This window comes from Homo sapiens, chromosome 5 (assembly GCF_000001405.40).
Source record: "Homo sapiens chromosome 5, GRCh38.p14 Primary Assembly".
NCBI classification, from domain to species: Eukaryota; Metazoa; Chordata; class Mammalia; order Primates; family Hominidae; genus Homo; species Homo sapiens.
This window is the reverse complement of record NC_000005.10, coordinates 139,385,832-139,409,991: the sequence shown is the minus strand read 5'-3', so window position 1 is coordinate 139,409,991 and position 24,160 is coordinate 139,385,832. Positions and strand designations below refer to the sequence as shown.

Sequence of the window (24,160 nt, the reverse complement as noted above, 5' to 3'; positions counted from 1 at the left end):
GTACCTCACAGCCAATATACAGATCAAAACTACACTTAGCATCAGAAATTCAGGTGTTATCCCAGTTCCTTGCTGGCTTTGGTCCTAGTGGCCCATATTTAGGAAAGTTTTGGTTTAAAAATATAGTAAATGATATTTACATGATCCTAACTGGTCATGATAGCTTTCATTTGAAAAAGAAAGTGAGATGAGATTCAATTCAGCAATGATTGAGAACTTACTCTGAGCCAGGTGGGCTGGGTTTTTGGAATGGGGGTCAGGGAACAGGTGAGGCCCAGCACCAAGACTCCTGGAGCTCACATCTAATGGGGAGGCCAGGCTTTCCACAGCACTCCCCAGTGCAATGAATAGCTAAAGGGAGACCAAGGTGACCACAGACTGTATAACAAAGGGATTTAACCCAGTCTGAGGGGTCAGTGAAAGCAACTCTGAGGAAGAAATATGTGAAATATAATCACCCTTCCTACAGAGATGAGTAGATTTTTATTTAGTGAAGGAGAACGGAAGCAAGACTTCCAGTGCTCCCATTACCATCACTAGCACTTCCACCCATCCAAGTGCCAAAGTCAGCAACCCAAGCCAGGCACGGTTTTGCACACCTGTATCCCAGCTACCTCCAGAGGCTGAGGTGGGAGGATCACTTGAGGCCAGGACCTTGAGACCAGCCTGAGTGATATAGCAAGACCCCGTCTCTAACAATAAAATTAAAAAGTTGGCCAGGCACAGTGGCTCACACCTGTAACCCCAGCACTTTGGGAGGCTGAGGTGGGTGGATCACCTGAGGTCGGGAGTTTGAGACCAGCCTGACCAACATGGAGAAACCCCCATCTCTACTAAAAATACAAGAATTAGCCAGGCATGATGGCGGGTGTGTGTAATCCCAGCTATCAGGAGGCTGAGGCAGAAGAATCGCTTGAACCTGGGAGTCGGAGGTTGCAGTGAGCCGACATTGCACCATTGCACTCTAGTCTGGGCGACAGAGTAAGACTCCGTCTCAAAAAAAAAAAAATTAAAAAGTCAAAAACCCAGGAAACTTTGTGTGGTAGACTTAATTTGGCATCCCCTAATATTTATGCCTTTGTGTAGTCCCTTTTCTAATCGGGGCTGGCCTTTGACCTTTAACCAACAGAATGTGGCAAAACTGGCAGCTTCCATTTTTGTACTTGGAGGGAAGCCAGCTACCATGTAAATTCAACTACCTGAGACCACTACACTAACCAAAGGAGAAGCCATGCAGAAGAGAACCCAGCAACCAAGCTGACAGCAAGAACTGAGGACCCAAACACATAATTCAAGTTGAGCCATTTGTGTTACCCCAGATGATGGGCAGAGCAGAAATGTGCTGCCCCACCAAGTCCTGCTCAGTCTGCAGAATTGTGAGCAAATAATAAAATGATTGCAGCCATTTTTTTGCAGGTGCAGTGGCTCATGCCTGTAATCCCAACACTTTAGGATGCTGAGCCAGGCAGATGGCTTGAGCCCAGGAGTTCAAGACCAGCCTGGGCAACGTGATGAAACCCTGTCTCTACCGAAAAATATAAAAATTAGCTGCACACCTACAGTTCCAGCTACTAGGAAGGTTAAGGTGGGAGGATTGCTTGAGGCCAGGAGGCGGAGGTTGCAGTGAGCTGGGATCGCGCCACTGCGCTCCAGCCTGGGCGACAGTGTAAGACTCTGTCTTTAAAAAAAAAAAAAAAAAGTTGCTGTTTGAAGCCATTACATTTTATGGTGGTTTTTAGCAATAGACAGCCAAAACACCTTTTCCTTGTCCCCATATTCCCTTATTCCCTCTCTCTGTTAAGTTCCATCAATTTTACCTCCAGAATATCCTAAACCTACTCTCATCTCTGACACTATCTGACTCTCAAACTACCATCCACTTTCACTGCAGTAGCCTTCTCGGTTAAAGTGGTCTCTGTGCACTTACACAGCCCCACTCCAATCTGTATACCTCACTGCAACCAAAGAGATCTTTTCCAAGCATAAATTGGATCACGTCATCCTCTTGCTTAAAATATTTCAGTAGCTTTCTTTTGTCCCTAAAATAAAAATCACCAAAATCCTTAGCATGGCCTACCTTGCTTAGCAAGGCTCTGCCAAGTTCTTGGTCTCTACCCACTACCCAAGCCCCCTCTTGCCCTATAATCTTTTTCTTTTATGCCATGCTACCCTTTAATTACTACACTCTACCAGCCCCTTTTGCCCCAGGGACTTTGTATACACAAAGTATACACTGCTTCCTCTTTCTGGTATCCCTACCTACTCATCTGCCCCTACCCTCTTTGCTAAGTGCTTCCTAGTTACCTTAATAGGCTTCAGCTCAAACATCACTTCCTCACAGAAGCTTTCCCTTGCACAGAATCTTAGCCCCACCTGGCTAAGTTTCTCTTTAGATTTATCTGGTTGTTTGATTATTGTCTGACTTTTCCCACTAGACTAAGTTCCTGACTGGTTTTACCTGAAATGAACCTTGAAGGGAGTGGTGCCCCATCTGTCATAAGGATTTGCTCTAGAAGTGCAGCCCAAATTCTTTGACACTACTCCCATTGAAAGGTGGTGGGGTAGGGGGAGGAATCTGTGTGTCCTCCTCTGGAATCTAGACTCTGACTCCTTGACCAATAGAATACAGCAAAAATGACACTATGCCAGGTATCAGGCCCAGGCCTTAAGAAACTGGCATCTTCCATTTTCTGTCACTTTGAATGATTATCTTTAACCCAGTCTTCATGCTATCAGAAAGTCCAGGCAGCCTATGGAGAGGAACCAAGACCTTTGGTCCTCAGCCCTAGCAGAGCTCCCAGCTGACAGCACCAACTTGCCAGTCACGTGAGTGAGCCATGTTGGAACTGGAACTTCTAACTCCCCGTTGAACCATCCCAGTTCACACTGCATGGAGCAGAGATAAGCTTTCACCATTGAGCCTTGCCAAATTCCAGATTCATGAACAAAATGATTTTTTTCAATGACTTAAAAAAATTGGGGGGTGGTTTATTATGCACCAATAGATAACCAGAACATCAGCCAAAATGACAAGCCTGTGCAGAAAGGCAACCCTTCCCTGGCAGGATCACAGAGCTGTTTGTGATGTCATGTCATCCTGAGTCTCACTGAGTCCTGGTTGACCAGGAGCCCAAAGTGCCTTTCAACATATAGAGGAGTCTGTGGCAGTGCCCAACCAGGGTGACCACCCCTCATGTCCATGCCAGGAAGCAGGTGCAGACCTGGATCCAGGGTTCTCTCTTGTTCATAAGCTTCCACCCCCAGGTGGCTGCTGGAGCCTACTGCTCTCCAGGGTTTTGCCCCAAGTACGCAGAGAGCAGCCTGTTCCAGCTGGTGAAGGTGGATGTTGGATATCAAGGGACATCAAGCAGTGCCTCATGAAAGATCCTAGGGAGGAAGTGCAGTTCTTGGGGAAGGCTCAGGAATCACTGCCCCAGAAGAATGTGCAGCTTTGTGAAGGGTGATTCAGGTGAACATTCACATTTGGTACACCAAGTTCTGAGAGGGTCTGTGCTGAGGCACACAACCTACACAGTGCCCTCTAGGCACACACTTTCCAGTACAGTAGCCAGTAGCCACACATGGCCATTTAAACTAAAAATTTAAAAATTTTAAAGAGCCATGATTAAGGTGATCTTCAGAAAATAATAAAAAATTTAAAGCAATTTCTCAGTCACATGAGCTACGTTTCAACTGCTGAAGAGCCACATGTGGCTAGTGGCTATTGAATAGTGCAGCTGTAGAACATTTTCATCACTAGAAGTTCTATTGAACTGTATTGTTCTAGGCCCTTTAACAGAGGTCGGCCGGGCACAGTGGCTCACGCCTATAATCCCAGCACTGTGGGAGGCTAAGGTTGGCCGATCACCTGAGGTCAGGAGTTCGAGACCAGCCTAGCCAACATGGTGAAGCCCCGTCTCTACAAAAATACAAAAAAATCACCTGGGTATGATAGCAGCTGCCTGTAATCCCAGCTACTGGGGAGGCTGAGTTGGGAGAATCGCTCAAACCTGGGAGGCAGAGGTTGCAGTGAGCCAAGATTGCTCCACTGCACTCCAGCCTGGGCGACAGAGCAAGACTCCATCTCAAAAAAAAAAGAAAAGAAAAAAAGAAAAAAAAAAGAGAACATGGTGAAACCCTATCTCTACTAAAAATACAAAAAATTAGCCGGGCATGGTGGCGGGCGCCTGTAGTCCCAGCTGTTCGGGAAGCTGAAGCAGGAGAATGGTGTGAACCCCGGTTGGGGCAGAGCTTGCAGTGAGCCAAGATCGCACCACTGCACTCCACCCTGGGCATCAGAGCAAGACTCCGTCTCAAAAAAAAAAAAAAAAAAAAAGAGAGAGAGGTCAGCAGAGATGGCCTTGTCTCCAAGTCCATGAAAATAAACGCAAGAAACAAAACAAGGGCTCCCGCTGAGAGAACCACAGGGATGGCCAAGTTTGTCAGGCCCCCCGGGGGGTTTTGGGGAGCGGCTTGAATGACTTACCCTGAGCTTTCTGCCTCCTTTCATAGTCACTGGTAACTTTTTTTCCAAACTCCTTGTTAGTATAGTCATTTCCTACTTGGGGGTATCAAATTCCATAACTTCCACCCATGACGTGCAACACAAATGCAGCACAACATCCTGGTTAAGAACATGAACTCCAGGCCCAGCGCGGTGGCTCATGCCTGTAATCCCAGCACTTTGGGAGGCCGAGGCAGGCGGATCACCTGAGGTCAGGAGTTCGAGACCAGCCTGGCCAACATGGTGAAACCCCGTATCTACTAAAAATAAGAAAATTAGCCAGGCGTGGTGGCGGGCGCCTGTAATCCCAGCTACTTGGGAGGCTGAGGCAGAAGAATCCCTTAAACCCGGAAGGTGAAGTTTGCAGTGAGCCGAGATCACGTCCCTGCACTCCAGCCTGGGCGACAGAGCGAGACTACATCTCAAAAAACAAACAAACAAAAACACGGACCCTGGAACCAAACTGCCCATAGCAGAACTCCGTTCCACAACTTACTAGAGTGACCTTGGGCAAGTTATTCATTCTCATTCTCATAGAGCCTAGGTAAAAAGGGGCTGATAGGAGTTCCATGAGGGTCACATGAAATAATATAAACATAACGGTGCCACGAAATAGTGAACACAATATATATTCGCTCTGATGTTCTCCAAACCTAATCTTATTTGGGTTTCCAAGAAAAAAAAAAAAGCCTTCAATAGAGACTTGGTGAGTGTGCGTAATCACCGTATCCTTCCCTGACTTCATTTTACTAAACTCTCCTCCTTCAAGCCCTCTTCAGTCCTCCTAATCTCTTCAGGGTCCTCCTCCTCGGGTGGTGGCACATGACTCTAGTGCAGACTCTAGTGCCCAGAGCCTGGTATCAGAGTATGAAGACTTTGATCTCAGGTGTAGCCATTCTCATTTTTTATCTTCGTCTATCTTCCGTGCTTAGGCTTAGGACCCCTAAGTACTAAGTGTGTTCCAGGAGGCTGGAATCTCATACAATGGAGGAAATTTGGAGATTAGGATAAAGATTTGGAGAAAGAGGCATGAGAAGCTAAAGATGCAGGAGTTGCCTATGCTGGCTCTTGCTTCGTGGTCATGCAGTTTAACAGGCCCTGGGTGAAGGCTGAGGGCTGCTGTTTTGAGTGTTGCCTGCTCGCAGGCAAGGAAAGTACAAGCCGGGCCCTGCCGGCTTCTCAGGACTGCGTGAGAAACAGAAGACGCAATAAAAGCGCAATTTCCTGTAAACTTAAATGCCTTAAGGGTTGTCAGCAGTTTCCCCGCTCCAGGCGGCTCCTTTAAGAGGCGGCCCCTCGCCCCGCTAACATAGGAAGTCCCCGCCCCCCGTTGCCAGGGTGCTCTGTGGCGTCGCATTCTCATTGGTGGGCGACGGCGAGGATCACCCCCGAGGCAGCCATTTCCAACTAGCTGGCGGGGGCGGAAGATGGCGACGCCCCTCGGGTGGTCGAAGGCGGGGTCAGGATCTGTGTGTCTCGCTTTAGATCAACTGCGGGACGTGATTGAGTCTCAGGAGGAACTAATCCACCAGCTGAGGAACGTGGTATGCAGCCAGAGGAGTTTGGGGAGAGGCGGGGCCGGATGCCTCACTGGTGGGGGCGGGGCCAGAACCTGTTCCGATGCGGGGGCCGTGGCTAGAACGCATGGCCCATGGCGTCATCAGGAGGAGGCCGGGCTCAGTCGGTAGGGGTGGAGCCAAAAAGGGGCGGACCTTCCTGAACCAGGGAATTTTAACTAAAATCAAGCCATATTCTCCCTTCCGTTTGCCTGGTTGCTGCAAGAGCTGGTAGAGAGTCCCTGAGCCTCAGTTTCCCCATTTTCAGTGGAGATGACGTCACTGAGTTCCCATGGCCCTCCTGTGCAGGCAGAGAAACTGTCATCCCTTCTATTATGGACACCATTCCCGAGAGTCAAAGGCAGTGCCGTGTTGAATGCAGTAAGCGCAGATTTGGCCCTTGCCAGCGCTAACTTAGGGGCCTCCAAGAACTTTACATGCCTTAGCTTTTGCCTTCTCAATCAAACCCCAGCTAATGGGTGCAAAGCATTGCAGTCACAGATTACCTGGGTAGGCATGATAGAATCCTGGCCATCTGGAGTTCATGGTTTTTCTGGTTTTGTTTTCCTGTCTTGATAAGAAGGTTAGGATGTATCTCCATCTCAGAAATAAAACTGGCTTCACATCTACTTCTCATTCTAAGTTGTTCTTAGACAATTTCTTCCCTTCTGGGAAGTTGAATGTGGGGGAAAGGGGAGAGAGACCTGTCCTATTTGCTACCCTAATGCTCTCATTCAACAAAATATATGGAGCTCTAGGCACTGAATTGCCTTTGATTCCCTGAAGGTACCCAGGTCTTCCTCTTGGCAGCTGACCTTGGCATGTGTGTCCCCACCATCCAGAGTGCTTTTCTCTCTATCCCTCTTCTGGCCCACCCTATATAGCAGTCAGATCTCAGGTCTAACATCCCCTTCTCCGGAAGTGATTCTGACCCTTCCCCAGGCTGGGTTGGGGCCTCCTCTGAGCCCCAGATCCCCTTATGTCTCCCCATCAAGGCACACAACATGTTAGAAGTGCTAACTGTGGACTGCCTCCTCCATGAGACTGGCTGCTCCTTGAGGGCAGCACTTAGAGCTGAGTCTCAGTTTATCTGTGGAACTGAATTCTCCCTTCCCAAGGCCTCAGTCTCATCCTAGGTACCACGAGCATCATCCTGTTATCCGCTTTTGGTCCTGGTCCCTAGAGGGCGCCCCTTCTACTCCAGCCCCAGGCCCTCCCTCAGCCAGGCTCTGTTGCAGATGGTTCTCCAGGACGAAAATTTTGTCAGTAAAGAAGAGTTCCAGGCAGTGGAGAAGAAGCTGGTGGTAAGTAATGGCCTCTGCGGTCTCCTAATCTTCCCCCGTTTCCCAGGATCCCTGTGGTTAGGCAGGCTCATTAAGTATTAGCCTCTGATGGGTGCAGTGGCTCACAACTGTAGTCCCAGCTCTTTGGGAGGCCAAGGCGGGCAAATCACTTGAGGTCAGGAGTTCGAGACCAGCCTGGCCAACATGGTGAAACCCTGTCTCTACTAAAAATACAAAAAAATATATATATACATATATATATATTAGCCAAGCATGCGTGGTGGCAGGCGCCTGTAATCCCAGCTACTTGGGAGGCTGAGACAGGAGAATTGGCTTGAACCCAGGAGGTGGAGGTTGCACTGAGCTGAGATCATGCCACTGCACTCCAGCCTGTGCAACAGAGTGAGACTCTGTCTAAAAAAAAAAAGAAAAAAGAAAAAAGAAAGGTCGGCCTCTGAGAACCTCCAGCCCCTGTAGCAAGGTGGCCAGAATCTCCCTGTGCTCTGGCTTCTGTGTGTCCCTCTGAGAAGGGGGGCTGGTTAAGGGAGTCTAGGAGACCCAAGGCGGCCTAGGGTAATGAGGTGACTGCTGCTGCCCCTGCAGGAAGAGAAAGCTGCCCATGCCAAAACCAAGGTCCTCCTGGCCAAGGAAGAGGAGAAGTTACAGTTTGCCCTCGGAGAGGTAGAGGTGCTATCCAAGCAGCTGGAGAAAGAGAAGCTGGCCTTTGAAAAAGCGTGAGTGGGCCTCAGTACGGGGTGTGGGGTTTGGGGGATGCATCTGCTTGCTAGCCTGCCCACCCTCCCATCTTATCTTCCCCACCCAGGCTCTCCAGTGTCAAGAGCAAAGTCCTTCAGGAGTCCAGCAAGAAGGACCAGCTCATCACCAAGTGCAATGGTAGGCGGGAGGCCCGTGCTCTCCACCACGGTTATATAAACGGGCTCTTTCCTAACCACCCAGTGCCTGTGTCAAAGGCAGGGTTTCACTCTAACACCTGTCCCCAGCTGAGGATACAGGCAGGCCCGGGTGGGCCACACCTTCGAAAAGGCCTTAAGGGACCAGGCAGGCCACGGAAATGAGGGAAGCAGTCGGTGTACTATATTCTTCACCGCCATAAAGGAATGGGCTTGCTCCCATTTTTCCTGAAACATACAACCTTCTTAGTCCACCTTTTGTTTTCCCACTTTTGATGGGTTACTCCTAACTGATACAAGAGGAACACAGGGCAAGCACTGTCCTATTTGGGACCTGATCCTTAGTCTCAGGGTCAGGACTCAATAGGGAAGGATGCATGTGGTGACAGGGGGCTAGGATTGCCAGATCTTTAAAATGGAAACTAAGAGTTATTTTTATTTTTCTAAGACTGGGTGTCACTATGCTGCCCAGGCTGGTCTCAAATGCCTGGGCTCAAGTGATTCACCCACCTCAGCCTCTCAAGTAGCTGGGACTACAGGTGTGAGCCACCATGCCCAGTGAAACCAAGTTGTTTTATTTTTTTTGAGATGGAGTCTTGCTCTGTTGCCTAGGTTGGAGTGCGGTGGCACACGGCTCACTGCAACCTCCATCTCCTGGGTTCAAGTGATTCTTCTGCCGCAGCCTCCCGAGTAGCTAGGATTACAGGTGTGCACCACCATGCCCGGCTAATTTTTGTATTTTTAGTAGAGATGAGGTTTCACCATGTTGGTCAGGCTGGTCTCGAACTCCTGACCTCAGGTGATCCCCCACCTCAGCCTCCCAAAGTGCTGGGATTATAGGCGTGAGCCACCGCACCCAGCCAAAACCAAGTTTTAATGGAAGCTTTTCTGACTTTTTAGTGTTGGCAGTTGATTTTGAAATTTTAAAACTATCGTGTAGGCCAAGTAAAATATCTGTGGGCTGCCAGTTTTCAACTCTGCTCTGTGCAGATGCCTGGGGGCCACTTTTTTGGCTCAGTTGGTGCCATAAGTTGTGGGGCACCTTCTGAGTCAGCTACACATGCCCGTACACCTCAGGAGCCCCTTTCATTTCCCGGAATGCTAAACTCCCCTTACCCAGTTTAAGTATGGGCTGGGCGCGGTGGCTCATGCCTGTAATCCCAACACTTTGGGAGGCCAAGGCAAGCGGATCACATGAGGTCAGGAGTTCGAGACCAGCCTGGCCAACATGGTGAAACCCCATCTCTACTAAAAATACCAAAAATTACCCGGGCATAGTGGCGGGCACCTGTAATACCAGCTACTCAGGAGGCTGAGACAGGAGAACTGCTTGAACCCAGGAGGCAGAGGTTGCAGTGAGCCAGGATCATGCCATTGCGCTCCAGCCTGGGCAACAAAAGTGAAACTCTGTCTCAAAAAAAAAAAAAAAAAAAAAGTAGGTATGAATTCCAGGCACAACATCTGCTTTGTTCACTGCAGCAGATCTCCAGTAGGCCAGAGCCCAAGCGCAAGAGGTTCAAGGTCCTTACTGATGGGGCTCCCATGTGGAGCCTTGAGTACCCTGCCTTTCACCTGTTCAGCCTTCTCTCTCCCCTAGTGAGTGCTCTCACTGGGAAGATGGCAGCAGGCTGACATCTTGATCTGGCCAGGCAGGCTGACAGGTCTCATAGTAGTTTGGTCACTGGCTCCTGCCATGGCAGGGCGCAACAGGCAGTCACTGCCCCCATGCTCGAGACCATTGGTCCCCTCAGTCTTGCCCTCTCCCTGGGCATCCCCTTACTTCCCAAAAAAGAACCTGGGGTTCTTTCCTGGTAGGGCCAGAGACCTCCTTCCCCTAGGTCATTTCCTTCCAACAGAGATCAGTCAAGCTCACGGGGCTTTGGATCTGCTTGTTGGAAGGTGTGTGTGTCATGGGGACAGGTCCTGGCTGCCTCCCCCAGAATATTCTAAACCCCTCCTGTGGGACACAAGCCCTCCTGAGCCAGTCTGGTGATGTGAACCTCACCCTGGCCAGTGCCTCCCACCCCTACAAACTCCCCTTGTGTGGTTTCAGTTTGGTTTTTACACTTACATAGTTCTTTACTCTCAAAGGGATTTTCTAACCATTCTCTCACCATCGGGTGCCACAGGCTTTTATTTTCAAAGAGTCACACAAATTTCTAATTCTTTTTCCCAAACGAACTTCACAAGTAATTAATTCCACTTAGCTGGACGCCTGGGAAGGAGGTTCAACAGTCCTCGTCCCATGACCCGGTGAACTCATGTCTTCATTCTCTCCCTTCACCTGTCTCCTCTTTTCCATGCTGTGCCTTCACTTTTTACCAGGTCTTCTCTTTTGAAATCTTAAATGCTTAGACATTTCTGTATTTTCAGAGTTTGTGTTCTAGTTAATTCTTGTCCAACCTTTTTTTTTTTTTTTTTGAGATGGAGTCTTGCTCTGCCGCCCAGGCTGGAGTGCGGTGTCGAGATCTCGGCTCACTGCAAGCTCCGCCTCTCAGGTTCACGTCATCTTCCTGCCTCAGCCTCCCAGGTAGCTGGGACTATAGGTGCCCGCCACCACACCTGGCTAATTTTTTGTATTTTTAGTAGAGACAAGGTTTCACCGTGTTAGCCAGGATGGTCTCCATCTCCTGACTTTGTGATCCACCCACCTTGGCCTCCCAAAGTGCTGGGATTACAGGCGTGAGCCACCACGCCTGGCCTTTTTTTTTTTTGAAGCGGAATCTCGCTCTGTCACCCAGGCTGAAGTGCAATGGCACGATCTCGGCTCACTGCAACCTCCGTCTCCTGGGTTCAAGCAATTCTTCTGCCACAGCCTCCAAAGTAGCTGGGATTACAGGCATGTGCCACCACACCCAGCTAATTTTTGTATTTTTAGTAGAGACGGGGTTTTACCATGTTGGCCAGGCTGGTCTCAAACTCCTGACCTCAGGTGATCCACCCGCCTTGGCCTCCCAAAGTGCTGGGATTACAGGCATGAGCCACTGTGCCTGGCCCCTTGTCCAACCTTTGAAGACAGTAGGATTTTCTTTCTGTAGGAATCAGAATTTTCCAAGGTGCCATGTGGGGCAGTTATGTAAATGAAGCACCCCCAGATCCCTACAGCCTCCTTGGATTTTGATCCAACACAGAAAAATTATCATTTATTTATTTATTTATTATTTAGAGACAGGGTCTTGCTCTGTCACCCAGGCTGGAGTGCAGGGGCACAGTCATAGCTCATTGCAGCCCCCAACTCCTGAGCTCAAGTGATCCTCTTGCCTCAGCAAGTAGCCAGGACTATAGGCATGTTCCAACACCATGCCCAGCTAGTTTTTTGTTTTTTTTTTTTTTAGTTTTGTAGAGGCGAGGTCTCACTATGTTGCCCAGACTGGTCTCTTACTCCTGGGCTCAAGCCATCCTCCTGCCTCAGAAAGTCATCTTTGCCTCAAATGTACGATTAATTTGGGGGTAGGCTTTGCCACCACTATCTCACTGGGTCCTCCCCAGACCACTGTGGGATAGGGCTGTCTCTTTCCCCATCTTTGAAATGAGGAAACAGGTCTGAAAATCGAGGCAACTCCCATCTTCTCCCACCACCCCTGAAGCCCTAGCACAAGGCTGGGCATCCAGCCAGCCCTCGGGAAGTTTGTTTGGACTGGGATGACTGAACTAGGTCTTTTTTCTGAGTCCTAAACCCCCAGGGACATCCCGTTCATTCGGTCTGCAAATATACTTTTTGTATACCTACTATGTGCCAGGTGCTGTTTTAGGCCTTAGGGATAAAGCCGTGAATAAAACAAAGATCCTTGTCCTTGTGGACCTTACATCCCAGCAGCGGAGAAGACAGATGAGTAAAGTATATGGTATGTTAGGTAAAAGTGTTAAGAAAAATAAAGCAGGATGTTGGGCATGGTGGCTCACGCCTGTAATCCCAGCATTTTGGGAGGCTGAGGTGGGTGGATCACCTGAGGTCAGAAGTTCGAGACCAGCCTGGCCAACATGGTGAAACCCCATCTCTACTAAAAATACAAAAATTAGCTGGGCGTGGTGGCAGGCGCCTGTAATCCCAGCTACTCGGGAGGCTGAGGCAGGAGAATTGCTTGAACTCAGGAGGTGGAGGTTGCAGTGAGCCAAGATCATGCCACTGCACTCCAGCCTGGCGACAGAGCAAGACTCAGTCTCAAATACAAAAAAAAAAAAAAGAGAAAGCAGGAAGAGGGAACAGGAAGTACTGGGAAATGTAATTTTTTGATGAGGGAGAGTTTCTCCAAGGAGGCAACATCTGTAAAGACCTGCAGGAGTTGAGGGCAGGCGCCATTCATCTTCCAGCCTTTGGTCAGGCCTGCCCACTTCTCTCCAAGGACCTTCTCCTGCCCTCATGTGGGTCCTCTGGTCCAGAATAGACTTGTGAAGTCATTGACAACAATCCTCAAACACTGCACTCCCCCAAGACTGCATAATAAACTCATTCATACTAAGGTATTAGCAGTTCTTCATGGAGAACTCTTGGGTGGGGAGCCAAGCTCTGAAAAGCCCCGTGAGGGAATGCCTTATCTCAGGAAGGAGCCCTGGGATGGGAACCACCCCTCCTCCCTGCCTCTCTCCCCCACAGAGATTGAGTCTCACATTATAAAGCAAGAAGATATACTTAATGGCAAAGAGAATGAGATTAAAGAGTTGCAGCAAGTTATCAGCCAGCAGAAACAGATCTTCAGGTGAGGGGTCTGGGCCCGGCTGGGGGTTGTTGATGACACTGGGGAGCCAGACCTCTGGCCCCTACCTACCCTTGGCTGTCCACAGCCCACCACCAGCCGGCTCCGTTGCAGGAATCACATGTCTGACTTCCGGATCCAGAAGCAGCAGGAGAGCTACATGGCCCAGGTGCTGGACCAGAAGCATAAGAAAGCCTCAGGGACACGTCAGGCCCGCAGCCACCAGCATCCCAGGGAAAAATAAAATGGCCGCCGCTTTCCTGTTCTCTGGCTGTAATCCCCAGCCTCTGCCTTCTCTGCTCTGGGAGTCCCCAGCCTCTAGCCCCTGCTACTTCCCTCCCTCTTGGATAGTGGTAGGGGTCCACAAGGTGGGGGCTTGTAGCCTAGGGGAGGAGCTGGGTCTTTGTTGTCTGGTAGGCACCACCGCTTCCTTTGGGTATTTAATCCCTTCCTATATAAACAGCCCTGGTTACCCAGTAATATTCCACCCCACTCCCAGTGTCCTGGTAAATTTAACTTCCCAACTTGACTACAGGGCCGGAAGCCCTGACCAGAAACTTCAAAGACAGTGGGTTCCAGAACCACAAGGAATTTGGGAAGTCAGTTTCCATCACATGACAATAATGTTATACCTGCAAATTGCATTTGCACCTGCTGACACCTCCCCCAAACGGGAGCTTCACAATGGGAGGAAGAGAAAAGACAATGCTGTGTGTGGTTTTAAGGTGGAGAAACAATCTGGGAAGGGACCTCAATTTGCACAAGTTGCACAGGCAGGGCTGGATGGGATGGAGCAGCAACATTTTTTCAGAAGCCATCACCGAGTGCCCCCTAGGTGATCATGGGGACACACCCAGGCAGAGGACCCACTTCAGGGGTCAGATTAGCCCAGTGTAGCCTGTCCTGGGTCGGTTTGAGGCCAAGTGCACAGGAGGGGGCAGTGCTCTTGCTCCAGGGCCAGCTGGGGCCTGAGTCATAGCAGGACCTTGAAGCCAGAAGTTTAAGGGCAAGTGGTGCCCACAGTTGTAAGACAATGACAGGTGGTGGTTGCCTCCCCACCAGCGCCTGTCCCCAGGGCAGGTCCTAAGGCTGTGGGGGCTGAAGTTAGGGCCTTGTGAATACCTGGGGGAGCACAGGGCTGTTCTGGCCGCAGGGGCCTTTGGAGCTGGGACCACAAGCTACTTCGAAGCTTCCTGTAGGACCCCACATCGGTATCCAGGGCCTGTTCTAGGTGCTGAGGCAGACTGAAAGCTAGAGCTGTCCACTCCAGCTCCTTCCAATAGGTCCCACCGAGGGCAGTGGGTCCAGCCAGTGGTAGTACCTTCCTGAGGCCCTGAGGAGTCAGGGAAGCCTCTAGCGGTGCTCCTCACTCTACTGAAGGGGATCAGGAAGAGTGTAACTGGGGTCAAGAAAGGTGGTGTGTGCACCCTTAAGAGCTCTAGCTGAGGCCAGCAATGGCAATGGGGGTCCCCTGCAGTGATGCTAAGGCACCCGGGGCTGAGGGGAAGATGAAATTGCTGGCCCTACCTGAGTCTCCTGGCCTGAAGGTCTGGTTCACCCGCTCACAGCCTGAACTGCACACAGCAGTGCCTGACTTCAGGCGGATCCCTGCTGGGCTTCAGTTTCCTCACCTGTGATAGGTGGAGTTGGGCCTAACTCCTGGCTCCAAGGCTTTGAAAGTTGGGCCTGCCATTCCCTCACCTGCCTGTCAGCCAAAGCTTGGAGCCCACCCCAGGTACTCCGGCTTGTGCCTGAGAAGGGGGTTAGTTGGGCATGGGGGCTGGACAGGGAAGGGTGCAGGGCCCAGGTCTTTTCTGCTGCCGGCGCCGCTGGCTCAGGAGTGGACGCGGCCGCTTTAAGGCGCGGTGACCCCCACGGCATCCTCGGGCGGGGCGGGGACAGTGCCGGCGCCACCAGCGGAGGCGAATGCGAGGGAGATAGTGCACGGCGTCCGGCCCCACCATGCTGACCGCGCTCGCCCCGCCAGCCCTGCCTGGGATCCCGAGGCAGCTGCCCACGGCCCCCGCGCGGCGCCAGGACTCCTCCGGTTCGTCAGGCTCCTACTACACGGCTCCAGGTTCTCCGGAGCCCCCGGACGTTGGGCCGGACGCGAAAGGCCCAGCGAATTGGCCCTGGGTGGCTCCTGGGCGGGGGGCGGGCGCGCAGCCTCGCCTGTCCGTCAGCGCCCAGAATAGCCGCCAGCGGCACGGGCCCGGCTCGGGTTTCCCGCGAGGCCCAGGTTCCGGCCCACGGCCACCCCAGCCCCAGCTGCGCACGCTGCCGTCGGGGGAGATGGAAGTCATCTTCGGCGTCGGACCCCTGTTCGGCTGCTCCGGCGCAGACGATCGCGAGGCGCAACAACAGTTCACGGAGCCGGCCTTCATCAGCCCCTTGCCGCCGGGGCCAGCGTCTCCCGCCGCGGTCCCACGCCAGTCCCAGGTCCCCGATGGTGGCTCCCGCTGGGCCACCTACCTAGAGCTGCGGCCCCGTGGGCCAAGTCCTGCCGCCCCAGCGCAGTTCGAGTGTGTGGAGGTGGCTCTGGAGGAGGGCGCCGCGCCCGCCAGGCCCCGGACAGTGCCCAAGCGTCAGATCGAGCTGCGCCCCCGGCCCCAGAGTCCCCCAAGGGCGGCCGGCGCGCCGCGCCCCCGGCTGCTCCTGCGCACCGGTTCCCTGGACGAGTCGCTGGGCCCCCTGCAGGCCGCCGCGGGCTTCGTGCAGACGGCGTTGGCCAGAAAACTGAGCCCCGAGGCCCCGGCCCCGAGCAGCGCCACCTTCGGGTCCACGGGGCGGTCGGAACCTGAGACCCGGGAAACGGCCCGCAGCACCCACGTGGTCCTGGAGAAGGCTAAGTCTCGGCCACTTCGCGTACGAGATAATTCGGCCCCCGCCAAGGCCCCGAGGCCGTGGCCCAGCCTCCGCGAGCGCGCGATTCGGCGCGACAAGCCTGCGCCCGGGACGGAGCCGCTGGGTCCTGTTAGTTCCAGCATCTTCCTTCAGTCAGAGGAGAAGATCCAGGAGGCGCGGAAGACTCGGTTCCCGCGAGAGGCGCCGGATCGAACTGTTCAGAGGGCACGGAGTCCGCCTTTTGAGTGTAGGATCCCCTCGGAGGTTCCGAGTAGGGCTGTGAGGCCAAGGAGCCCGTCCCCGCCACGGCAGACTCCAAATGGGGCTGTACGGGGTCCTCGCTGCCCGTCGCCCCAGAACCTGTCCCCGTGGGATCGGACTACTCGGAGGGTGAGTAGCCCATTGTTCCCTGAAGCCTCCTCCGAGTGGGAAAATCAAAATCCTGCCGTCGAGGAAACTGTCAGCAGGAGAAGCCCTTCCCCTCCGATCCTTTCCCAGTGGAATCAGTGTGTTGCTGGGGAAAGGAGCCCGTCCCTCGAAGCCCCTTCCCTGTGGGAGATTCCACATTCGGCAGTCGCGGATGCGGTGGAGCCACGTAGCAGCCCGTCCCCGCCGGCCTTCTTCCCGTGGGAGGCTCCAGATCGTCCTATTGGAACTTGGGGCCCATCTCCCCAAGAGACATGGGATCCCATGGGGCCGGGCTCATCGATAGCATTTACTCAGGAAGCTCAGAATGGGTTAACTCAGGAGGAGTTGGCACCGCCTACACCGTCCGCACCCGGCACTCCAGAACCAACAGAGATGCAGAGTCCATCCACGCGGGAAATTTCAGATCTTGCCTTTGGAGGGAGTCAGCAGTCCCCAGAGGTAGCAGCACCCGAGCCGCCCGGCAGCCACCCTGTGGGCACCCTGGACGCGGATAAGTGCCCGGAAGTCTTGGGTCCTGGAGAGGCGGCCTCGGGACGCCCGCGCATGGCCATTCCGCGGCCTCGAGACGTGCGCAAGTTGGTGAAGACCACGTACGCGCCAGGCTTCCCGGCAGGAGCACAAGGCTCTGGGCTGCCTGCGCCTCCTGCCGACCCCTGCGGGGAGGAGGGCGGCGAATCCAAGACGCAAGAGCCGCCAGCACTGGGGCCCCCCGCCCCGGCTCACTACACTTCCGTTTTCATCAAGGATTTTCTACCGGTGGTGCCGCACCCCTACGAGCCTCCTGAACCGTCCTTCGACACGGTCGCCCGGGACGCCTCACAGCCCAACGGGGTCCTGCGGCGGAGGGCAGAGAACAGCACGGCGAAGCCCTTCAAGCGCACAGAGATCCGCCTGCCTGGGGCCCTGGCCTTGGGTCGCCGGCCCGAGGTAACCTCGCGAGTGCGAGCGCGCGGCCCTGGAGGAGAGAACAGGGATGTAGAGGCCCAGCGCCTGGTCCCCGACGGCGACGGTCGGACCAGCCCTCTAGGCGGCGCCCGCAGCTCATCCCAGCGCTCCCCCGTAGGGCCAGCAGGGGTCCGATCGCCCCGCCCCGGCTCCCCTCAGATGCAAGCCAGCCCGAGCCCTGGGATAGCACCCAAACCGAAGACACCACCTACGGCCCCCGAGCCCGCGGCTGCCGTCCAGGCGCCACTCCCGCGGGAGCCCCTGGCGTTGGCGGGCAGGACGGCCCCAGCCCAGCCCCGCGCTGCCTCGGCGCCTCCCACGGACCGGTCCCCGCAAAGCCCCTCCCAGGGAGCGCGCAGGCAGCCCGGGGCCGCGCCCCTGGGGAAGGTCTTGGTGGACCCCGAGAGCGGCCGCTACTACTTTGTGGAGGCGCCGCGGCAGCCTCGGCTGCGGGTGCTCTTCGACCCTGAGAGTGGGCAGTACGTGGAGGTGTTGCTGCCGCCCTCGTCTCCCGGGCCGCCCCACCGCGTCTACACCCCTCTGGCCCTGGGGCTCGGCCTCTACCCGCCCGCCTATGGGCCTATACCCAGCCTCTCTCTGCCACCGTCCCCGGGCCCGCAGGCCCTCGGCAGCCCCCAGCTACCCTGGGTCTCTGAGGCAGGGCCCCTGGACGGGACCTACTACCTGCCGGTGAGCGGGACCCCCAACCCCGCACCTCCTCTGCTCCTCTGTGCGCCGCCCTCCAGCTCAGGTCCCACCCAGCCCGGCAAGGGTTCATTGTTCCCGCTGTGAGGCCCCGGGCCGATCCCCATGGAGTTGGAGCCCTTGGATGCCTGGGAGGTTCTGGCATCCAAGCCCCTACCCTCCTCTCCTTCCGTCGCCTCTGTCTTTAACCCATCCCAGTCAGTCGTCGGACAGGAAGTGATCTTCAGAGAATGAATCTGAGCCCCGAGGCTGGTGGAGCTGGAGTCACCCAGGAAGTGGCTGCCTACTTCCTCCCCCAACAAAATTATGTATCCCTTTCCCAGGCATTCCCAGGGCGTGGTGTGGTGTGGTGTGTGGGTGTGTGTATATGTGTATATGCGGGCAAGCAAATAGGGAAAGTGAGGCATCCCTGGGCTTGTCCCCAGGAGCCGATCAGAGGAGGTGCTGTGGCTGCCGTGGGGCAGCAGGAACGGGAGCAGCAGGAGACAGGGCGGGGAACTGTCTGCCCTCCCTGATGGTGGGCCCAGCTGAGGTGAGGCTGGCCAGTGCCCCTGGTGAGGTGGCAGGAAGGACTCTGGCTGTCGAGTCTGCTCTTAGGAAGAGGAGCTGAGCTTTGGCCCTGGAGGTTACTGGGGGGAAAGTGGCCAGTACAGCCCAGGCCAGGCTGGCTCCGAGAAAGAGCTAAGGCGGGGGACAGCAGGTGGAGGCAAAGCAAGGAATACAGGGAGGGCCTGGGTTGGGGGTTAGCCTGGAACTTGGGGTGGGAAGATGGGGAGCCTGGCCCTCAGAGCTGAGCTGACTCATTTTTGGGCCAGGGGTGGGGCTTCAGTCCCCCACCCCCTACATCGGGAGTAGGTGAAATGGTCATCAGGAAGCTCTGAGAAGAGGGAGGGTTGGGCTCTTGTCCCACAGGAGCCTCTTGACCCCTCTGTGTGGCCAGAAGGTGGGTTAGGGCCAGCAGTAGAAGCGATACCCCTGGTGGAGTATCCAGAGGGATCTGAAGCTCTTGGCAGGTTCCACTCCCCAGTAACAGATGTGGCAACAATGGCCAGAGAGGGGCTGGCCCTACAGACCAGTCACAGCAAGGGACAGGGCCCAGAGCCTGCACTTCAGTTGCCCTGAGATTCCAGGAGCCTCTGAGGGAGATGAGGGGGGTCTGCATGAGGTGGGAGGTGGTGTGCGTGGGGGTCTGTATATAGTTCTGAACCGGAAATGGCTGGCCCTTGCCAGCCTGGTGTGTGATGTGATGAGTTTGGGAAGGACAGTTTCCATGAGAAGCAGTGGCAGGGATGGGGATGGATGCCTTCGTTGTTCCAGGCCTGTCAGGGGGCCCAGGTCCCTAGCAGTCCCTGCCCTCTGCCCTGGACTGGAAGCTGACTAGGAGAGCTACGAATCAGAACAACTGGCCATTTTCTAGCTGGAGATGCCAGCTCCGATGGCATGGAGGGCCCTGGGGCCACCCCAGGTGTCTTTACCTCATCCTGGTGTGTAATAAATCACTGACCATGGAGCCATCATGGCTGAAATAACTGGTGTGAGGTGCCTGATTTCCTGCCACAGCCTCTCAACACCCTCCACAGTGCCCTTCCACGCCTGGGTATGGCCTGGGTGGAGGGGACCTCAGGGCTAGGGAAGGAGACCATGTGTGTCTTGGAAACACTGTAGCATCCCTGTCTCCCTGAACTTGCCTCCCAGGAGGCTGGCAGCCACACCTCATTCCTTCTGGTGGTTGAGTGGCCAGGGAGCCTTGGGGTCAATCAGGCTTGGGTTTCTCAGCATGGCCCCTCTAGCTATGTGGCCTTGGATTTGTCACCTCTCTCTGAGCCTTTGTGTCGGAAGAGGCAGAATAAACATGACAGTCTCATTTCTCAGAAAGGTCAATGAAACAAAAAAAGATGACGGCAGCCAACCAACTCTTCCCACAAGGCACTCAGCACAGTGCCTGCCACTTGGCCAGATCACAGGATGTGGGCAGTATCGGCCCCTATGTGTTCCTGCCTAGGCCCAGCCCCTCTCCTTGCCTCAGTGCTCCCTATCTGTGAAATGGAGCTGAGATGGCTGGAGCCAGGGTCCAGCTAGAGGACAATGCCCACGTGGCATCTTCGGGGCCCTGGAGGAGGGAGTGGGAGGAGGATGGGAGGGGTGAGGTGTCAGTTCCCCATTGGTCTAGGCCAGGTGTTCTGTGGCGGTCCCCACACCACACAAGCACACACACATCTGCACCTCAACCACAGACTACACTTGCTGAACTGGCTCCTGGGGCCATGAGGCTGTCACTGCCACTGCTGCTGCTGCTGCTGGGAGCCTGGGCCATCCCAGGGGGCCTCGGGGACAGGGCGCCACTCACAGCCACAGCCCCACAACTGGATGATGAGGAGATGTACTCAGCCCACATGCCCGCTCACCTGCGCTGTGATGCCTGCAGAGCTGTGGCTTACCAGGTGAGTCCTTCACCACTGTCACCCTGCCCTGCTCACACCCCTTCTCAAGCCAGACCCCTCCACCCACCTCACATTCCACCACCGGCCTTTGATCCCCAATCCCTACCACTGGGCATCAAGCCACAGATGCAGCCTTTCATATATTCCATGCCTCAGTTTACCCATCTGCCTGCCTAACAGCAGACAATCTGGGAGACCTCCTCAGTATTTTGAGACCCCAGGGAATCACTCACTTGTCCTTAGACTTCTCCCTTTCCAGGCCCATCCTTGAGTCCGGACTCCCTCCCCAACCCTGACGGGGCGGCTTTGGCTATGTGTACATGGTGCAAGTGCACACGTGTGAGCGCCTGCACGTGAGTATGCGTGTGTCTGGCTTCACACACACACCTGCTGAGCATGCCTGCGTGCCAGTGTCTCTGTGAGGTGGGGGCCTGGGAGTACTTGTGTGATTGAATATTGGGCTCCAGTTTTTCTTACCTTGCTCTTGTGGTTTAAAATGGCACGTGCCGGCCGGGCGCGGTGGCTCACGCCTGTAATCCCAGCACTTTGGGAGGCTGAGCGGGGCCGATCGCCTGAACTCAGGAGTTCGAGACCAGCCTGGCCAACATGGTGAAACCCCGTCACTACTGAAAATACAAAATTTTAGCCGGGTGTGGTGGCACATACCTGTAGTCCCAGCTACCTGGGAGGCTGAGGGAGAAGAATCACTTGAACCTGGGAGGTGGAGGCTGCAGTGAGCTGAGATCGTACCACTGCACTCCAGCCTGGGCGACGAACGGCGTGAGACTCTCTCTAAATAAATAAATAAATAAAAATAAAATGACACTTGCCACTGGGCAGGTGTGCCCTGGACGAGGGACCCCAGTGCCCAGGCCTCACCTACCACTTCAGCATTTCTTTCCCATCCCCCATCCCCATCCCAGAGAGCTTTGGGGGCTGGGGGAGGGGCCATGCAACAGCCTCACAGGTGCTTCCTGCTCAAACGGCTCTCTTGCCACTTTATTTTCCCCAGAGACTCTGCTCCTATCCTCCCCACCTCCCCCTAACTGAGCAGCAGTCCTGAGGCCCTGCCTCCCAGTCCCTCCTTGTTCCAGATGTGGCAAAATCTGGCAAAGGCAGAGACCAAACTTCATACCTCAAACTCTGGGGGGCGGCGGGAGCTGAGCGAGTTGGTCTACACGGATGTCCTGGACCGGAGCTGCTCCCGGAACTGGCAGGAGTGAGTTGCCAATCCTGCCCCCCACCTCCCTCCTCCAAGGGCAGGCCTGGTGGGTGGAGATTCCCACTCAGCCGCTCACACAACACACACACTCCTCTAGGACTCTGGTCCAAGGGAGGGGCTGGCTGGGATGAAGTCTGGGCTCTGGAGCTGAGAGCAAGTGGGAGAGCAGAGGGCCAGTGGACAAGGTCACCTTGTGACCTTGGGCCAGGGGCTTTCCCTCTCTGAATTCCACAAATGCCCAGCATGTCCAGCTTGCTGTGGAGATGGGTCTCTCCCTGGCTGGGCTCCTGCCAAAACTGTACTCCTCTCCTCTCCACTGCCACCAGCTACGGAGTTCGAGAAGTGGACCAAGTGAAACGTCTCACAGGCCCAGGACTTAGCGAGGGGCCAGAGCCAAGCATCAGCGTGATGGTCACAGGGGGCCCCTGGCCTACCAGGTGATGCCCGGGGCTTGGGGATAGGATGAAGCTCCTGGAGCCTTGGTTTGCCCCACTGTGGGCTGGGCAGCATCTGAGGCTCCTGCTGGGCTCCCCTAGGCTCTCCAGGACATGTTTGCACTACTTGGGGGAGTTTGGAGAAGACCAGATCTATGAAGCCCACCAACAAGGCCGAGGGGCTCTGGAGGCATTGCTATGTGGGGGACCCCAGGGGGCCTGCTCAGAGAAGGTGTCAGCCACAAGAGAAGAGCTCTAGTCCTGGACTCTACCCTCCTCTGAAAGAAGCTGGGGCTTGCTCTGACGGTCTCCACTCCCGTCTGCAGGCAGCCAGGAGGGCAGGAAGCCCTTGCTCTGTGCTGCCATCCTGCCTCCCTCCTCCAGCCTCAGGGCACTCGGGCCTGGGTGGGAGTCAACGCCTTCCCCTCTGGACTCAAATAAAACCCAGTGACCTCACTTCTTTTCTCTGCAAAAGGTGCTTGTGGGGCTGGGAGTGCAGACATTGGTGTTTCTGCTGATGTCCCTTGTGAAAAAAAAAAAAAAACTCTCAAAATCAATTTTTTTTTTTTGAGACAGTCTCACTCTGTCACCCAGGCTGGAGTGCAGTGTTCTTGGCTCGATGCAACCTCCACCTCCCAGGTTCAGGCGATTCTCCCACCTCAGCCTCCTGAGTAGCTGGGATTACAGGCACCCACCATCATGCCCGGCTAATTTTTGTATTTTTAGTAGAGACGGGATTTCACCATGTTGGCCAGGCTGGTCTTGAACTCCTGACCTCAGGTGATCCGCTCGCCTTGGCTTCCCAAAGTGCTGAGATTACAGGCATGAGCCACCGCGCCCGGCCTTCAAAATGCTTTTTCTATTCTCTCACTCGACAACAGCACAGAAGATGGCTGTGACCGAATGCGTGGGGGCTTTCCCCCACACACCAGGCAAGCAATTCTGCAGCTGACACCAGCTGGGTGCCCTCCAAAATTCAATTCTGGCACTATCTACCTGGAGATAGTGTCAGATCCCACAGGCTGAGGGCTCAGTCCACCATTCTGTCCCCCATTCAGACACCAGTTCCAACTCCAGGCCTCTGGAGCTTCTGGCCTACTGGCTTCAAGATGAGGTTCCCACAACCCCCTCTTTTGAGTTCAACTAATTTGCTAGAGTGGTTCGCAGAGCTCAGAGAAACGTTTACCAGTTTATTATAAAGGATGTTACAAAGGATACAGATGCAGAGATGTGTAGGGCAAGGTATGGGGAATGGGCTCGGAGCTTCCATGCCCTCCATGGATGCAACACCGTCCAGGAACCTCCACGTGTTCAGCTATCCAGAAGATCTCTGAACCCTGCAATTTTGAGTTTCTGTGGATAATTCATTACGTAGGTATGATTCATTAAGCCATTGGCCATTGGCGAACAACTTACCCTCCAACCTGTCTGCCCTCCCTTGACTGGGGATGGGGGGTGAGGGGAGGCTGAAATCCTGCCTTGGTCTCTCTGGTGACCAGCCCCTGTCCTGAAGCTACCCTAGGGGCTGCCAGCCATCAGTCAATCATTAGCACACAAGAAGACATCATTTTGGGGATTCTAAGATTTTAGAAATTGTACTCCAGGAAACAGAGGTCAAAGACCAAATATATATTTCACAATATTACATCCCTCCTACAGAAGGCCAAATTTGCATCCCTACAACTTCCAGAGGTAAGAGGGAGCCATCAATGGTGTGGTGATGTAATCGCCCAAAGGGTTCACCTTGCTCAAGCCTAGACAGAGCCGATTGCTCAAGACAGGGGAATTGCAATAAAGACTAATTAACGCAGAGCTGGCTGTGCAGGAGACCAGCGTTTTACTATTACTCAAATCAGTCTCCCCAAGCATTCAGGGAGCAGAGTTTTTAAGGACAACTTGGTGGATGGCGGGGAAGCCAGTGAGCCAGGAGTGCTGATTGGTCAGGACTGAAATCATAGGGAGTTGAAGCTGTCTCCTTGCCTTGAGTCAGTTCCTAGGTGGAGGCCACAAGTCCCAACGAGCCAATTTATGGATCTGGGTGATGCCAGCTGATCTATCAAGTGCAGGGTCTGCAAAGTATCTCAAGCACTGATCTTAGGAGCAGTTTAGAGAGGGTCAGAATCTTGTAACCTCTAGCTGCATGACTCCTAAACCAAAATTTCTCATCTTGTGGCTAATGTTGCTCCATCCTA

At 54.3% G+C, this 24,160-nt stretch overlaps 3 protein-coding genes across 8 annotated transcripts, besides 19 other annotated features; all 3 read left to right on the top strand.

The window, feature by feature from the left end:
* Nucleotides 5,393-5,965: an enhancer, noted in NCBI's record as "H3K27ac-H3K4me1 hESC enhancer chr5:138739716-138740288 (GRCh37/hg19 assembly coordinates)". NCBI's record gives its function as "activates a minimal SCP1, AML or CMV promoter by ChIP-STARR-seq in primed H9 embryonic stem cells {active_cell/tissue: H9 hESC(primed)}" and the evidence as "EXISTENCE:reporter gene assay evidence [ECO:0000049][PMID:30033119]".
* On the top strand, nucleotides 5,903-17,492 carry SPATA24 (spermatogenesis associated 24). Of its 5 annotated transcripts, none has more exons than XM_005271916.5 (6): nucleotides 5,903-6,048; nucleotides 7,299-7,364; nucleotides 7,947-8,077; nucleotides 8,167-8,237; nucleotides 12,849-12,951; nucleotides 13,037-17,492. In XM_005271916.5, the coding sequence occupies exons 1-6, from the start codon at nucleotides 5,932-5,934 to the stop codon at nucleotides 13,785-13,787; spliced, it is 1,239 nt and encodes a 412-aa protein (XP_005271973.1). In that variant the 5' UTR covers nucleotides 5,903-5,931; the 3' UTR covers nucleotides 13,788-17,492. The 5 variants fall into 5 exon arrangements, with proteins under 5 accessions (XP_005271973.1, XP_011541555.1, XP_011541554.1 ...); XM_011543253.3 differs by having other exon boundaries at nucleotides 7,265-7,364; XM_011543252.3 differs by having other exon boundaries at nucleotides 7,244-7,364.
* Nucleotides 5,911-6,140: an enhancer, noted in NCBI's record as "active region_23231". NCBI's record gives its function as "activates an Ori minimal core promoter by ATAC-STARR-seq in GM12878 lymphoblastoid cells {active_cell/tissue: GM12878}" and the evidence as "EXISTENCE:reporter gene assay evidence [ECO:0000049][PMID:35858748]".
* Nucleotides 5,911-6,539: a biological region, named in NCBI's record as "H3K27ac-H3K4me1 hESC enhancer GRCh37_chr5:138739142-138739715".
* Nucleotides 5,966-6,539: an enhancer, noted in NCBI's record as "H3K27ac-H3K4me1 hESC enhancer chr5:138739142-138739715 (GRCh37/hg19 assembly coordinates)". NCBI's record gives its function as "activates a minimal SCP1, AML or CMV promoter by ChIP-STARR-seq in primed H9 embryonic stem cells {active_cell/tissue: H9 hESC(primed)}" and the evidence as "EXISTENCE:reporter gene assay evidence [ECO:0000049][PMID:30033119]".
* Nucleotides 9,921-9,970: an enhancer, noted in NCBI's record as "active region_23230". NCBI's record gives its function as "activates an Ori minimal core promoter by ATAC-STARR-seq in GM12878 lymphoblastoid cells {active_cell/tissue: GM12878}" and the evidence as "EXISTENCE:reporter gene assay evidence [ECO:0000049][PMID:35858748]".
* Nucleotides 10,381-10,600: an enhancer, noted in NCBI's record as "active region_23229". NCBI's record gives its function as "activates an Ori minimal core promoter by ATAC-STARR-seq in GM12878 lymphoblastoid cells {active_cell/tissue: GM12878}" and the evidence as "EXISTENCE:reporter gene assay evidence [ECO:0000049][PMID:35858748]".
* PROB1 (proline rich basic protein 1) lies at nucleotides 14,888-19,400 on the top strand. Its single transcript, NM_001161546.2, has one exon. The coding sequence runs from the start codon at nucleotides 14,911-14,913 to the stop codon at nucleotides 17,956-17,958; it is 3,048 nt and encodes a 1,015-aa protein (NP_001155018.1). The 5' UTR covers nucleotides 14,888-14,910; the 3' UTR covers nucleotides 17,959-19,400.
* Nucleotides 15,373-15,662: a silencer, noted in NCBI's record as "silent region_16411". NCBI's record gives its function as "represses an Ori minimal core promoter by ATAC-STARR-seq in GM12878 lymphoblastoid cells {active_cell/tissue: GM12878}" and the evidence as "EXISTENCE:reporter gene assay evidence [ECO:0000049][PMID:35858748]".
* Nucleotides 16,293-16,462: an enhancer, noted in NCBI's record as "active region_23228". NCBI's record gives its function as "activates an Ori minimal core promoter by ATAC-STARR-seq in GM12878 lymphoblastoid cells {active_cell/tissue: GM12878}" and the evidence as "EXISTENCE:reporter gene assay evidence [ECO:0000049][PMID:35858748]".
* Nucleotides 16,473-16,682: an enhancer, noted in NCBI's record as "active region_23227". NCBI's record gives its function as "activates an Ori minimal core promoter by ATAC-STARR-seq in GM12878 lymphoblastoid cells {active_cell/tissue: GM12878}" and the evidence as "EXISTENCE:reporter gene assay evidence [ECO:0000049][PMID:35858748]".
* Nucleotides 16,993-17,042: an enhancer, noted in NCBI's record as "active region_23226". NCBI's record gives its function as "activates an Ori minimal core promoter by ATAC-STARR-seq in GM12878 lymphoblastoid cells {active_cell/tissue: GM12878}" and the evidence as "EXISTENCE:reporter gene assay evidence [ECO:0000049][PMID:35858748]".
* Nucleotides 17,213-17,622: a silencer, noted in NCBI's record as "silent region_16410". NCBI's record gives its function as "represses an Ori minimal core promoter by ATAC-STARR-seq in GM12878 lymphoblastoid cells {active_cell/tissue: GM12878}" and the evidence as "EXISTENCE:reporter gene assay evidence [ECO:0000049][PMID:35858748]".
* Nucleotides 17,958-18,252: an enhancer, noted in NCBI's record as "tiled region #996; HepG2 Activating non-DNase unmatched - State 10:DNaseD, and K562 Activating non-DNase unmatched - State 10:DNaseD". NCBI's record gives its function as "activates a minimal TATA promoter and a strong SV40 promoter by Sharpr-MPRA in HepG2 and K562 cells {active_cell/tissue: HepG2 | K562}" and the evidence as "EXISTENCE:reporter gene assay evidence [ECO:0000049][PMID:27701403]".
* Nucleotides 18,893-18,942: a silencer, noted in NCBI's record as "silent region_16409". NCBI's record gives its function as "represses an Ori minimal core promoter by ATAC-STARR-seq in GM12878 lymphoblastoid cells {active_cell/tissue: GM12878}" and the evidence as "EXISTENCE:reporter gene assay evidence [ECO:0000049][PMID:35858748]".
* Nucleotides 19,913-20,322: an enhancer, noted in NCBI's record as "active region_23225". NCBI's record gives its function as "activates an Ori minimal core promoter by ATAC-STARR-seq in GM12878 lymphoblastoid cells {active_cell/tissue: GM12878}" and the evidence as "EXISTENCE:reporter gene assay evidence [ECO:0000049][PMID:35858748]".
* Nucleotides 20,079-22,525, top strand: MZB1 (marginal zone B and B1 cell specific protein). Of its 2 annotated transcripts, XM_047417264.1 has the most exons (5): nucleotides 20,079-20,312; nucleotides 20,572-20,665; nucleotides 21,325-21,531; nucleotides 21,861-21,971; nucleotides 22,071-22,525. In XM_047417264.1, the coding sequence occupies exons 3-5, from the start codon at nucleotides 21,407-21,409 to the stop codon at nucleotides 22,225-22,227; spliced, it is 393 nt and encodes a 130-aa protein (XP_047273220.1). In that variant the 5' UTR covers nucleotides 20,079-20,312; nucleotides 20,572-20,665; nucleotides 21,325-21,406; the 3' UTR covers nucleotides 22,228-22,525. The 2 variants fall into 2 exon arrangements, with proteins under 2 accessions (XP_047273220.1, NP_057543.2); NM_016459.4 differs by lacking the exon at nucleotides 20,572-20,665 and having other exon boundaries at nucleotides 21,407-21,531.
* Nucleotides 20,299-20,846: an enhancer, noted in NCBI's record as "H3K4me1 hESC enhancer chr5:138724835-138725382 (GRCh37/hg19 assembly coordinates)". NCBI's record gives its function as "activates a minimal SCP1, AML or CMV promoter by ChIP-STARR-seq in primed H9 embryonic stem cells {active_cell/tissue: H9 hESC(primed)}" and the evidence as "EXISTENCE:reporter gene assay evidence [ECO:0000049][PMID:30033119]".
* Nucleotides 20,847-21,394: an enhancer, noted in NCBI's record as "H3K4me1 hESC enhancer chr5:138724287-138724834 (GRCh37/hg19 assembly coordinates)". NCBI's record gives its function as "activates a minimal SCP1, AML or CMV promoter by ChIP-STARR-seq in primed H9 embryonic stem cells {active_cell/tissue: H9 hESC(primed)}" and the evidence as "EXISTENCE:reporter gene assay evidence [ECO:0000049][PMID:30033119]".
* Nucleotides 21,395-21,942: an enhancer, noted in NCBI's record as "H3K4me1 hESC enhancer chr5:138723739-138724286 (GRCh37/hg19 assembly coordinates)". NCBI's record gives its function as "activates a minimal SCP1, AML or CMV promoter by ChIP-STARR-seq in primed H9 embryonic stem cells {active_cell/tissue: H9 hESC(primed)}" and the evidence as "EXISTENCE:reporter gene assay evidence [ECO:0000049][PMID:30033119]".
* Nucleotides 21,963-22,012: an enhancer, noted in NCBI's record as "active region_23224". NCBI's record gives its function as "activates an Ori minimal core promoter by ATAC-STARR-seq in GM12878 lymphoblastoid cells {active_cell/tissue: GM12878}" and the evidence as "EXISTENCE:reporter gene assay evidence [ECO:0000049][PMID:35858748]".
* Nucleotides 23,255-23,374: an enhancer, noted in NCBI's record as "active region_23223". NCBI's record gives its function as "activates an Ori minimal core promoter by ATAC-STARR-seq in GM12878 lymphoblastoid cells {active_cell/tissue: GM12878}" and the evidence as "EXISTENCE:reporter gene assay evidence [ECO:0000049][PMID:35858748]".

Excerpts from the sequence above, each read along its gene's own strand:
- SPATA24 (XM_005271916.5), top strand. The coding sequence starts at position 5,932 with ATGGCGACGCCCCTCGGGTGGTCGAAGGCGGGGTCAGGATCTGTGTGT. Across the intron at positions 7,365-7,946 it reads CAGTGGAGAAGAAGCTGGTG|GAAGAGAAAGCTGCCCATGC; the intron begins GTAAGTAATGGC and ends CTGCCCCTGCAG. Across the intron at positions 8,078-8,166 it reads AAGCTGGCCTTTGAAAAAGC|GCTCTCCAGTGTCAAGAGCA; the intron begins GTGAGTGGGCCT and ends TTCCCCACCCAG.
- PROB1 (NM_001161546.2), top strand. The coding sequence starts at position 14,911 with ATGCTGACCGCGCTCGCCCCGCCAGCCCTGCCTGGGATCCCGAGGCAG.
- MZB1 (NM_016459.4), top strand. The coding sequence starts at position 20,136 with ATGAGGCTGTCACTGCCACTGCTGCTGCTGCTGCTGGGAGCCTGGGCC. Across the intron at positions 20,313-21,406 it reads GCAGAGCTGTGGCTTACCAG|ATGTGGCAAAATCTGGCAAA; the intron begins GTGAGTCCTTCA and ends TCCTTGTTCCAG. Across the intron at positions 21,532-21,860 it reads TGCTCCCGGAACTGGCAGGA|CTACGGAGTTCGAGAAGTGG; the intron begins GTGAGTTGCCAA and ends CACTGCCACCAG.